At 40.0% G+C, this 12,930-nt stretch overlaps 1 protein-coding gene and 1 long non-coding RNA gene across 4 annotated transcripts in view, besides 2 other annotated features; one reads left to right on the top strand and one right to left on the bottom strand.

Moving 5' to 3' along the window:
• RTCA-AS1 (RTCA antisense RNA 1) lies at positions 1-1,433 on the bottom strand. 2 transcript variants are annotated; one of them, NR_110435.1, is made up of 3 exons: positions 1,263-1,433; positions 1,088-1,176; positions 1-506 (listed from the first exon to the last, which is right to left on the bottom strand). It is a non-coding gene; the product is annotated as an RTCA antisense RNA 1 (long non-coding RNA). The 2 variants fall into 2 exon arrangements; NR_110434.1 differs by having other exon boundaries at positions 1,074-1,176.
• Positions 1,166-1,715: an enhancer, noted in NCBI's record as "H3K27ac hESC enhancer chr1:100731463-100732012 (GRCh37/hg19 assembly coordinates)". NCBI's record gives its function as "activates a minimal SCP1, AML or CMV promoter by ChIP-STARR-seq in naive H9 embryonic stem cells {active_cell/tissue: H9 hESC(naive)}" and the evidence as "EXISTENCE:reporter gene assay evidence [ECO:0000049][PMID:30033119]".
• Positions 1,284-1,643: an enhancer, noted in NCBI's record as "active region_1378". NCBI's record gives its function as "activates an Ori minimal core promoter by ATAC-STARR-seq in GM12878 lymphoblastoid cells {active_cell/tissue: GM12878}" and the evidence as "EXISTENCE:reporter gene assay evidence [ECO:0000049][PMID:35858748]".
• The window catches only part of RTCA (RNA 3'-terminal phosphate cyclase), a 26,554-nt gene continuing 15,098 nt past the window's right edge, over positions 1,475-12,930 (top strand). Inside the window, exons 1-9 of one of the 2 annotated variants that reach the window (NM_001130841.2) lie at positions 1,475-1,679; positions 1,783-1,883; positions 2,759-2,797; positions 3,411-3,554; positions 5,816-5,939; positions 8,653-8,711; positions 10,083-10,224; positions 10,858-10,982; positions 12,517-12,575. In NM_001130841.2, the coding sequence (NP_001124313.1) occupies positions 1,635-1,679; positions 1,783-1,883; positions 2,759-2,797; positions 3,411-3,554; positions 5,816-5,939; positions 8,653-8,711; positions 10,083-10,224; positions 10,858-10,982; positions 12,517-12,575 (838 nt within the window). In that variant the 5' untranslated portion in view covers positions 1,475-1,634. The remainder of the gene's footprint in view (positions 1,680-1,782; positions 1,884-2,758; positions 2,798-3,410; positions 3,555-5,815; positions 5,940-8,652; positions 8,712-10,082; positions 10,225-10,857; positions 10,983-12,516; positions 12,576-12,930) is intronic. The other variant, NM_003729.4, reaches the window with a different exon arrangement.

Consider the following 12,930-nt stretch of genomic DNA (forward strand, 5'->3'; position numbering starts at 1 on the left):
CCCGGTGGCTCAGCTGTAAAATTCCTCTCTTTATACTGTCTCTCTTTATTTCTCAGCTGGCCAACACTTATGGAAAATAGAAAGAACCTACGTTGAAATATTGGGGGCGGGTTCCCCCAATAAAGATGTCAGATAGGGGTACAGCTTTTTTATATTCCATCCCTACCATCATTGCCTTACTTCAACTTCTGATTATTTCTTGCTGGATAATTGTATCATTGGCATTTCTCCCTTCAGGCTCTTAAGCCTCTTATTCACCCTTCTCCTACTGCCAAAGCCTTCATTTTAAAATGCAAGTATCATTACTTCTCTGATTAATATCTTACGGCAAATTCCAGATTTGGTTAAGTACATAGTCTGTGTGTTCCCTAAAACATTCTCTGTCGCAAAGCAGCAGAGCGTTGGGATTACCAGACAGTGGTGTTCACATCAGACCACCCAGGTTCACATCTCAGTCTTCTAGTTAAAATTGTGTGACCTTGTAGCAAATTGTTTAACACAGGAAGCTGTAAAACAGTAAAAACAGTAAGTACTTTATCATGTTATGAATGCATGCAGTGCACAACACCTAAGTGCTCAATAAGTGTTGCCTGTTATTGTTACAGTATATTATTAATATATTGTAATTGTCCCCATAATAAACTCTAAATACAGTACATGTTAATTATTATTGAGGATGACATTGTAATTGATTACGTCTCAGTCTCTCCATTATACCTCCAATAACTTCGGGGGTAGAAGCTGAATTACTCTTTTTTGCTTCCCTAGAGGTTTACATATTATTTGGTACTCAATTATGTAGGAACTGAGCCACAGGCAGAACCAAGAAGCTGGCTATTGCTTCTGCCCTCGCCTGAGGTGAATTGTTAGCTGCACTGTTCCTGGGAGTCAAGAGCTTGCACTCACTCTCAAGCAAAATGGCATAACTTTGGCTTTTCAGAATATTAAACTAGTGATTCTGCCTTTCCCGCCTCTCAAATAAATGGTGTGTCACCCTAGAAAGAAAGATAACACACTCCGCATACACAAACACGCACACCGCAAGGAACCAAAGGCCAAGAGTATCAATGTACCAGGGCGCACACACTTCGAGAGACAGGTTCGGTGCATCGCAGGATCCCAATCTTTCTTGCATCTTCAGCTCTAAAAGTCGGCACCTCGGGGTATGCCAGGATCCTCGAGAAAACAGATATAAACACATATTTACCCACAAAACAGAGATAAAGCACAAGCCTGCGGGATAACTGGAGGAGTTATCTTACAGTTGAGACTTTCTGCAACCTGCAGATTTTGCCGTGCCCAGGGCACAAGTTTTTCAGGGCTCCTGGGCACCCCCGCGACCGTCATCTCACTTCCCCGGCAGCTTCCTCGCCCCGACCGCAGTGTTCCCAGCGCGGCTCCTTTAAGCCGAGCTACGCGCATGCGCACTGACTGCGGAACTGGGCGAACCCGGGGGTTCGTTTCTGCTGACTCCAGTGTCCCGAGAGGCGCCGCTTCTTCCGCTTTCTCGTCAGGCTCCTGCGCCCCAGGCATGAACCAAGGTTTCTGAACTACTGGGCGGGAGCCAACGTCTCTTCTTTCTCCCGCTCTGGCGGAGGCTTTGTCGCTGCGGGCTGGGCCCCAGGGTGTCCCCCATGGCGGGGCCGCGGGTGGAGGTCGATGGCAGCATCATGGAAGGGGTGAGTACAGAGCGAAGCGGCCGGGGCTGCAGCCTAACTAAGGAGGGGAGCTCTCACCACCGGTGTGCTTACTTCTCTTCTCCCTGTACCCCAACCTTTGCAGGGCGGCCAGATCCTGAGAGTCTCTACGGCCTTGAGCTGTCTCCTAGGCCTCCCCTTGCGGGTGCAGAAGATCCGAGCCGGCCGGAGCACGCCAGGCCTGAGGTAAATCTGGCTGGAGGGGGAGTTGGGCCGTGAAGCTGGGGGATCGGGGGGTCGGGCTGCCGGGCTGGGGCATCGGGAGTCCGAGTGGTGGAACCCAGAAGGTCCCAGACGCAGGTATGGGCGATCCAGGGCGGGGCACTCTGCCTGGGCGGTGGCCTGGGTTGTAAAGTCTTGAAAGCCTGGAGGGGTGAGTTTAGAAATGGTCTCGAGTTTTCTCTGTTTGACTAAATAGTGTCATTTGCTGAAGAGCTAGCTTTTAAAATGTTTTCTCACCTCACCGGGCATTCCAAATATCCGAACAGCACGTATGAGCTGGCAAGATAGATAGGGCAGAAATGCTTGTGACGCCAGAGGAAACCCTGTTTTATAACCAGTGCATTCTGGTTCTGCTGTCAGTTTTAGAATCATAAAACAGGAAAGAATCCTGAGATGTGTTATCCCAGCCTTCATTCATACCTCCAGAGAGCTGTTATGACCAGAATTATCTGTTGTGGAGAGGGAAACACCTTGACATTTGACCTTATTTCTTCTGTCTGGGTAGCTGGGCATGCCACTAGTTGAGCTTCAGGTACATGCACCTGCTAGAAGAGGACCCAGGTTTGAAGCCACACTGATTGCTTTGTATGTATTCTGTATTTATTACATTTTAATAAATCAGCGGTCTCAGTCTTTTGTCTACAGTTTTGAAATTACCAAAAGGCAATTACTGATATGTTAATGTTAATTGCCTTTGTCATAGTTTGCAGCCCTCCAGTTCACCAACAGGGGAATCCAATTCATTAGGCTGTAGGTGTTGTATTAGTTTGCTAGGGCTGCCATAACAAAATGCCACACACAGAGTGGAGCTTAAACAACAGAAATTTATTTCCTCACAGTTCTGGAGGCTGGAAGTCCAAGATCAAGGTCCTGACAAGGTTGGTTTCCTCTGAGAGCCATGAGAAAAGGATCTGCTCCAGGCCTGTCTTTTTGCCTCTTCACATGGTGGTTCCTCTGTGTACCTTGCCCCTAGCGTCTCTGTATGTTCTAGTTTTTTTTTTTTTTATAAGGACACCAGTAAGATTGTATGGTGGCCTTATTTTAACTTAATTATCTCTTTAAAGGCTCTATCTCCAAATATAGTCACATTCTGAGATACGGAGGGTTACAGTCTCAGCATATTAATTTAGGGGGAACATAGTTCAGCCCATACAGGCACCATAGATTGTTCAGTCAAGTGCAAGCGAGACTGGTGGCACTGAAATAACTATTAGTTTTCTTCTTTAGCACACTTCTAATTTGCAGCAATATATCAGGGTATGTATTTATAGTCAGAAATAACTGGTCTGCAAGGAAGTGTTAAAATGATACATACTAGCAGGTAGTCTAGGTGCATAAAAACCCAAAAGGAAGCTGACACTGAAGATGTGGCACTTACTGTGGTTAGACCTTGCTGTTTTCTTGCCATTGCAGTTTTATAAATTTGTCATAAAATGTGGGGATGTAGGCAGTCTGAATGCACACGTTTTGATGCAGTATTATGACCTGAAGGCCTCAACATTTATCTGGACTGGAAATGATTCGAGATTTGTGTGATGGGCAACTGGAGGGGGCAGAAATTGGCTCAACAGAAATAACCTTTACACCAGAGAAGATCAAAGGTGGAATCCACACAGCAGATACCAAGACAGCAGGGTATGTATCACTTAACATTCCATTTAAGTAACCTGGGTTTAAGTCCAGGTTTTGCCACTTTCTGGGCAAGTTGCTTAATGTCTATGAGCTTGTTTCCCTACTTTTATGTTTTTTTTTTTTGAGACAAGGTATCCCTCTTGCCCAGGCGGGGGTGCAGTGGTGCAATCACTGCTCACTGTAAGCTGTAACTCCTGGGCCCAACAGGTCCTCCCACCTCAGCCTCCTGCGTGGCTGGGACCATAGGCACACAGCACCATGCCCCGCTAATTTTTGTATTTTTTAAAGAGACAAGGTTTCGCCATGTTTTTCAGCTGGTCTCGAATTCCTAAGCTCAAGCAATCCACCCACGTTGGCCTCCCAAAGTTTTGGGATTATAAGTGTGAGCCACCACACCTGTCCAATAAATATTCATTGAATTAATGAAATTCATTATTACTGATAGAGACTTCCCAGTTCAATACTTAAGCATCATTGTGTAAGTGAGTTAAATAAAGATCTGTCTTTTGATAGCTAAGAGGCTATGTCGAATTCCCTTTCAAACTACTTATGAATATGATTGCTTTCACTTAACTTTGGAGAAGGGAGATAATGGCTCATTTAGAAAACAACCAGGCCAGGTGCGGTGGCTCACGCCTGTAGTCCCAGCACTTTGGGAGGCCGAGGTGGGTGGATCGCTTGAGCTCACAAATTTGAGACCAGCCTGGGCAACATGGCAAAACCCCGTCATATATATATATTTATATATTTATATATATAAATAAAAATTAGCTGGGCATGGTGGTACATGCCGGTAGTCCCATCTACTTGAGAAGCTGAGGCTTGAGCCTTGGAGGTGGAAGGTGCAGTGAACTGAGATTGTGCCGCTGCACTCCAGCCTGGGTGATGGAAGGAGCCCCTGTCTCAAAAAAAGAAAAGATAATGACCAAGTGTTTCACTTTATGAAATTCATCATGTTACATAACTATTTCTTGTGATTTCTCACATTATTTGACTATAAGGACCAAACAGGCAAGTAAAGCAAGGATTACTTCACTAAAACTTCCCATGTGAAATATTTAGCTATCAGTCTTTTTTTTTTTTTTTTTTGGTCTCCCAGGCTGGAGTGCAGTGGCATGATCATGGCTCACTGTAGCCTTGACCTCTTGGGCTCAGGCGATTCTCCTAAAGTGCTGAGACTACAGGCGTGCACCACAATGCCTGGTTAATTTTTAAATTTTTTGTAAAGATGGAGTCTCACTATGTTGCCCAGATTGGTTTTGAACTCCTGGGCTCGAGTGATCATCCCACCTCTGTCTCCCAAAGTGCTGGGATACAGGCATGAGCCACCACGCCCGGCCAAGCTGTGAGTGTTTGTTATTATTAAAATTAATAATTATTAAAATATTTTATTATACTTTAAGTTCTGGATACATGTGCAGAATGTGCAGGTTTGTCACATATGTACACATGTGCCATAGTGGTTTGCTGCACCCATCAACTGGTCATCTAGGTTTTAAGCCCTGCATGCATTAGGTATTTGTCCTAGTGCTCTCCCTCCCCTTGCCACCTGCCCCCCGACAAGCCCTGGTGTGTGATGTTCCCCTCCCTGTGCCCATGTGTTCTCATTGTTCAACTGCCACTTATGAGTGAGAACATGCAGCGTTTGCTTTTCTGTTCCTATGTTAGTTTACTGAGAATGATGGTTTCCAGCTTCATCCATGTCCCTGCAAAGGACATGAACTCATTCTCTTTTATGGCTGCGTAAAATATTATTCTATCATATCATGAACTCCACAATGACAGGAACTATATCTTTATACCTGGAACAGTACCTTGTTATATAGTAACTAATCATATCCAGACCTTGTCTATTTTGAAAGCATTTTCATAAACTGCTAGTTTCAAGAATTCTTTTGTAAAACTTTTGAAGAAGGTTTTATTTTTAATTTTTTTTCTTTTTTACTTTTTTGTAATATAAAGAAAAGTATCAGAACTTAGCCAAGGTCACACAGCTAATGTGTTTAGTTGAAGATTCAGACCCAGGTTTGGTTATCATTTAAAGCTATTTTTCTATGGTGAAATACTGTTTTTCTTTAAAATTCAGGATTTTACTATTCAGACACTAAAATGTTTTTTAACTAGAAACTCAATGGCATATACCTGCCTTCACAGTTGTCTGTGCTTTAGTTGGTAGTGATGAACAAGAATATAGCTTATTTAAGAGTTTGAAAAGAAAATGCAGAAAAGAAAATGAAAATAAGCCCCTTCTGCCTTCTCCTTAGGAGTGTGTGCCTCTTGATGCAGGTCTCAATGCCGTGTGTTCTCTTTGCTGCTTCTCCATCAGAACTTCATTTGAAAGGTGGAACTAATGCTGAAATGGCACCACAGATCGATTATACAGTGATGGTAAGGGCTTTTGTTGTTGACAAACTAAGATGATCTCATACATGCTTCTGAGTCTCCATTCTCTAAATATATCCTGAGTGTTTTTTTGTGACTTTCTTGTTTATCTCTTCATGGTGTCTTTTCTTTCTTTCTTTCTTTTTTTTTTTGAGACAGTGCTGTTGCCAAGGCTGGAGTACAGTTGCATATCACAGCTCACTGCATACTCAACCTCCTGAGCTCAAGCAATCCTCCTGTCTTGGCCTCCTGAGTAGCTGGGACTACAGGCACACACCCAGCCAATTTTTTTAAATTTTTTGTAGAGTCGATGCCTCACTATGTTGCCTAGGCTGGTCTTGAACTCCTGAGCTCTAAGGATCCTCCCACCTCAGCCTCCCAAATGTGTCTATTGCAGTAGGGGGTGGGGAATTATGTTTACTTTAAGTTTGTTGTTATATCTTGGAATAGTGTTTATAGTGAATTAAAAAAAAAAACTCAAGTGTAGGGCCCGGTGTGGTGGCTCACACCTGTAATCCTAGCACTCTGGGAGGCTGAGGTAGGCAGATCACTTGAGCTTAGAAGTTCAAGACCAGCCTGGGCAACATGGTGAAATCCCATCTCTACAAAAAAATAATATAAATAAAAAACAAAAAACACTACACACAGAAAAATTAGCCAGGCATGGTGGTGCACACCTGTCCAAGCTACTCAGGAGGCTGAGGTGGGAGGATCACTTGAGCCTGGGAGGTTGAGTTTGCAGTGAGCTATGTTGGCACTCCATCCTGGGTGATAAAGCAAGATGCTGTCTTTAAAAAAACAAAAAACACCTCGAGTGTGATATAAATTATATCAGTTGTGATGTGTTATTTTATAAATACAAGGATTATGATTTGGAGGGAAACTCAAACTTTTTTTTTCTATTAAGCCCCTTCCATTCTAGGATCAAACATTTAAAAAATGATTTAAAAAATACTGGCATGCTCATATAACTAGTGGGAGAGAAAAGTGGTATAATCTTTTTTCTTCTAGATTTATTAAAGTGTAATTTTTTCAATTGAATCCACCCTTTTTAACATGCAGTTCTGTGATTTTTGACAGTGACATGATTCACAGTTATGAACCATCTACCACAATCAAGACATAGAATAGTTCCGTTACTCTAAAAAATTCCCTTATACGTTTTTGTAATCAGTCCTGAGCCTCAGCCCCTGGCAACTGCTGATCTGTTTTCTGTCATAGTTTTGCCTTTTGTTCAGAATGTCATATAAGGGATAATACTGTACGTAGGCTTTGAGTCTGGGTTTTTTGCTCTCCATAATACATTTGAGATTCATCCATGTTGCTTGTATCTGCAATGAAAACTTGAGTTGTGTTCTCGTATATGGATGTACCAGTTTGCATATCCATTCATCTATTGAAGGGCATTTGGGTGTTTCCAGATTTTGGCAATTATAAATTAAGTTACTGTTAACATTCATATACAAGTTTTTGTGTGATTGTACATTTTCATTTCTCTTGGGAAAATACTTGCTGGGTTGTTATAATAAGCAAATGTCTAACTTTATAATACATAGCCAGGTTATTTTAGCTTCCAAAGTGGCTACATTTTGCATTATTACCAGTACTATATGAGAGTTCCAGCTGAAGTGGGCACAGTGGTGTGTGCCTATAGTCCCAGCTATTTAATACTTGGTAGGGTGAGGTGGGAGGATCTCTTGAGCTTAAGCTGGAGTCTAGCCTGGGTAACATAGCGAGACCCCATCTCTAAAATAAAAATAAATATCAAATAGAGGGTTCCAGCTGTTCTGTATCCATCCTAGCACTTGATATTTTCAGGTTTTTATTTGTTAAGCTTTTTCTGCCTTTAAAAAAAAACACAAAACAAGGTTAATAACCTGTATACCTCCTGGATACATAGGAGACAACCCAGAGAAATAAGTAAATCTCTAGAGTAGATCTCAAAGAGTTGCCTTAGACATCAGGCTTAAACACCATCTTTCTCTGAAATATTGCCATTCTAATAGATGGTATAATCTTTTCAAAGTCAGTTCGATGGGATGTATAATAAAAATTAATCTCTCCTCACCTAATAATTTGACTTCAAGGAAACTCCTCTAATTCAATATTGCAAAGTTCAGCTAAAGATAAATGTTAAAGGTATTTGAACAGAGCATTATATACTGTAATTATCATTATATAAGATATATCATTATCTAATAATGAAAACTTGGAGAACCGTTAAGTCAATTAGGCTAGGATGCCATGGAGTCATTCAGATTTTGTTTAGGAATAATTTTATGATGTCAGGAAAATGCTTATGTTTATAATGTTAAAGCATTGTCTGTGGAATGAGATTTCAACTGTACAAAAAATTGAGATGACAGAATGGAATGCTCTTCACCAATACCCCCTCATTTCTTAAATGTACTATATTGAGATGCGTGAGGAAGTATTGGCCTTCGGAGTAGAATAACCACTGATATCAAATATCCTAAGTTCCAATTTTTTTCGTTAGATAGACTTGCACAGCTCTGATTAAATAAATGTCAAACTTTTAAATTTAGCTACATATCAGTTTTTTTATTTGAAAAAAATGGAACCAGCCTACATATTCTTATAACACTGTTTACCTATAGCACCCAGTTACTAGCCAGCAAAGCGCTTTTGTTTAATAAATACACTTGTTAAATTAGTGAATATTGCTGATTAACCTAATGATAAAAACTGATTTTTTCAGGTCTTCAAGCCAATTGTTGAAAAATTTGGTTTCATATTTAATTGTGACATTAAAACAAGGTAAGTTGCTTGTTTCTTAAATGTTAGGATCTATTACTTACGCTAGAAGTAGTGGAAAAGTTAGACCCTTAGAGAACTGTCTTTCTGGTACCCACTTAATACATTGCATCTCTTGTAAGAAGTAATTGTACTTTGTGGCTTAAAAATAATGAATAGCAGGAGCATGGGGACTCGAGAGCAGCTACACATCATGGTTATTTATTTCTAGGGAAAATATTTTCAAGGGAATTTTCACAGTGAGGTACCCTCATATCTAGTGATATTTCATGCCCCAGCACAGCTTAAGTGCTCACTGTGTGTAGACAACTGGACTAGACACTAAGGGGTCATAAAAGGAATTCTCTTCCACAATGTGATCAGAATTGTTTTCCTAAGAAACACATTGGGCATTCAGGTTATTTCTCTTTAAGGCTTCCCTTCTGCCACACAATCACTAGGCCATATTTCTTGGTGTGGCATTTAAGTGCTTTGAAGTCTTGCCCTAACTTTTCTAACTTCTTCGTCCCTCTCCTCCTTTCAACGTGTTATGTATTCTAACAATATGTTTGCTTGTTATTCCTTAAATATGCTTTGTGCCTTTGGACTTTTGTGTCTTTGTTCATGTTATTCTTCCCCTGCTCTCCCAAAAGTTAGAAATCCTATGTTTTTTTCAACGTGAAACTTATAATTCTTTATGAACTGTGATTGTGCCTCAATCAGAATTCATATTTGCACCTATGTTGTAGCCTTTCTTATAGCCTGACCTGTATTCTAGTAGACAGTGTGTGGAGCCATCTCCCTACCAGATGGTGAGCTCTTTGAGGGGAGGAGTACTGTCTTCTCACCGTCTGCTGTAAAATAAATGACACCAATTAATTGAATTAAAACTTTTTAAGTGTTTTGCTACTTAAATATTCATCATATATTTATTTGAGGACCTACCATGTGCCAGACATTGTTTTAGGCACAGGAAAATAGCAGGAACAATATAGGTAAGTCTAGCCCTCAAGGCGCTTATATTCTACAATAGCCCTGTCAAATAGAACTTTCTGCATTGGGGTATATGTTCCATATCTATGCTGTCCAATATGGTAGTCACTAGCCAAATGTGACTATTGAGCACTTAAAATGTGGCTAGTGCAGCTGGGGAGCTGATTTTTAAATTTTATTTAATTTTAATAGTTTCACATATCTCAAGGCTACCACATTGTATAGTACAGACAAAATTTTGTTTTTTAATGTATAAAATTTTACAAAATACAGACCTAAAATATTTAGACCTTTCCATGGATTACATGTTTGGATATCATTGACATGTCATTTTATTGTAATATAGAGCTTTGTTTTTGTCATGCAATCAGTTTATGTGGGCATTTGTTATACTTTTCATAGGGGATATTACCCAAAAGGGGGTGGTGAAGTGATTGTTCGAATGTCACCAGTTAAACAATTGAACCCTATAAATTTAACTGAGCGTGGCTGTGTGACTAAGATATATGGAAGAGCTTTCGTTGCTGGTGTTTTGCCATTTAAAGTAAGTTGTTTAGATGTTCTTAGAAATAAAATATATGTGTGTCTTGATAAATATTATGTCAACTAAATTTTGAAATTATTGAGAGAACTTAACATTTTTTTAAGGAAAGAAATAATGTCCTTTGTGGCAATATGGCTGCAGCTGGAGGCCATTATCCTAAGCAAATTAATGTGGGAACAGAAAACCAAATACCACATGTTCTCATAAGTGGAAGCTACGCATTGAATACACATGGACATAAAGATGGGAACACTGGGGACTGCTAATGGGAGGAGGGTGGAAGGGGGCTGAGGGTTGAAACACTATCAGGTACTGTGTTCACTACCTAGGTGATGGGATCATTCATATACCAGATCTCAGCGACATGTAATTTACCCATGTAACAAACCTGCACATGTACCTCCTGAACCTAAAATAAAAGATGAAATATATGTATTAATGGATACATTAATTAACAAAAATAAAATTAATTTGCATAAGCATATTTAAAAATTCAGTGCTCTCTTGAAAATCAAGTTATTAAATAATGCATGTAAAAGCTACCAATTATTTTATGTGTCTTTGAAGTCTTGAAAACAATTTTCCAAATAATCAGTAATTGTTTTATTCTATTTTTCTGTCTTGCTAAAATAGGTAGCAAAAGATATGGCAGCGGCAGCAGTTAGATGCATCAGAAAGGAGATCCGGGATTTGTATGTTAACATCCAGCCTGTTCAAGAACCTAAAGACCAAGCATTTGGCAATGGAAATGGAATAATGTGAGACAATACTTTTTCCTACACATTAGTTGAGAACCCTAAAATAGTTATCTAATTAAATTAAAGATTTTTAGGGTTTCTTGCTTAAGTTTATAGTTTTAAGAAGTATTTATTTATTTATTTATTTATTGAGGTGGAGTCTCGCTCTGTTGTCCAGGCTGGAGTGCCGTGGTGTGATCTTGGCTCACTGCAAGCTCCGCCTCCTGGGTTCATGCCATTCTTCTGCCTGAGCCTCCTGAGTAGCTGGGACTACAGGCGCCCACCACCACGCCCAGCTAATTTTTTGTATTTTTAGTAGAGACAGGGTTTCACCGTGTTAGCCAGGGTGGTCTTGATCTCCTGACCTCATGATCCACCTGCCTTGGCCTCCCAAAGTGCTGGGATTACAGGCATGAGCCACTGTGCCCAGCCTCAGTTTATATTTTTAAGGACATTCCTACCTAAAACACCAGTATGATAAATTAAGACAATTATTCTGAATTTTTTCTGAGGATGGCTTGCCTTTTGTTACCTTGTAAGATCCCTTTCCCTTATATAGTGAACTTAAACGTTTAATCAGAAGTTAGGCTTTAAAGCTAGTCCTATGAGAATATTTCCAGTTGCATAAAATACGTCAAATGTGAAATCAGTTCACAAATAAATATAGCAAAGAGCTTTTTAAAACCAGACTAGAGGCCAGGCGCGGTGGCTTACACCTGTAATCCCAGCACTTTGGGAGGCTGAGGCGGGCAGATCACAAGGTCAAGAGATCAAGATCATCCTGGCCAACATGGTGAAACCCTGTCTCTACTAAAAATACAAAAATTAGCTGGGCGTGGTGGTGCACACCTGTAGTCCCAGCTACTTGGGAGGCTGAGGCAGGAGAATCACTTGAACCTGGGAGGCGGATGTTGCAGTGAGCTGAGATCACACCACTGCACTCCAGCCTGGCGACAAAGCGAGACTCCATCTCAAAAAAAACCAGACTAGAACTATTATGTTAATTCAGTTAGGAGTTATAGATTTAAGTATTAGTACAAATTCTTTAACTGATGTTTTTGAAGTATAAAAGTACCATTTTTGGATATTTAAGTTCCAAATCCTCTCATTCAGAATTTCCATTAAAAGGTTTAAAGTAAACGCTTGCTCTACTTATGATAACACTATCTAAAAACCGTAGAACAATACCAAAGTCTCTGCATAACGACCTTTTTATTTAAGATAATTCTGAAACACTTTATAGTACTGTGTGCCTGTGAAATGGTACCACTTAGTGCTAATGACATGTTAACTTGTTGGGGGGCATGGTAGACATTTCTTAACCTGTGAATTAGAATCTGGTGTGACTTCTCCTGGTCAAGTGGTAAAGGATACTACTGGTCTGATTAAGATAGACAATGTTAATCATACCACTCTATATGAAGAATTTTTACTTTTGCAATTTGTTGCCCAGATTTAGTTCTGCCTATTTAATAGTCATTGTTCTCTTTTGTTGTATTTGCATAAATTTGGAACATTTATAGCAAAGGTAGTAATAACTTTTTTTCTTGCATAGAATTATTGCTGAGACCTCCACTGGCTGTTTGTTTGCTGGATCATCGCTTGGTAAACGAGGTAAGATAAATGAAGGGGGTCCATAGTTCCCAATGCTACTGCAGAATTCTTTAATCCATCAGGATTGGAATGTTATAGAATGATGGATGAAAGTTTAAAAGGATGTAGTTAATTGATTCTCTTTTAGAGTCAATTACACTTTCAGACTTTCAGTCTTTCTCCCACCTTTATACTTTGGAAAATTTCAAACCTATGGAAAAGTTGAATGACTAGTTCAACTAGTCATCCATACAACCTTCTCTTAGATTCACTAGTTATGAACATTTAGTTTGTTGTGTATATTTCTGAGCCATTTCAATATAAGTTGCAGGTGCCATGTCTCACCCCTGAATACTGCAGCATATATGTCCAAAGA

Source organism: Homo sapiens, chromosome 1, assembly GCF_000001405.40.
Source record: "Homo sapiens chromosome 1, GRCh38.p14 Primary Assembly".
Classification (NCBI taxonomy): Eukaryota; Metazoa; Chordata; class Mammalia; order Primates; family Hominidae; genus Homo; species Homo sapiens.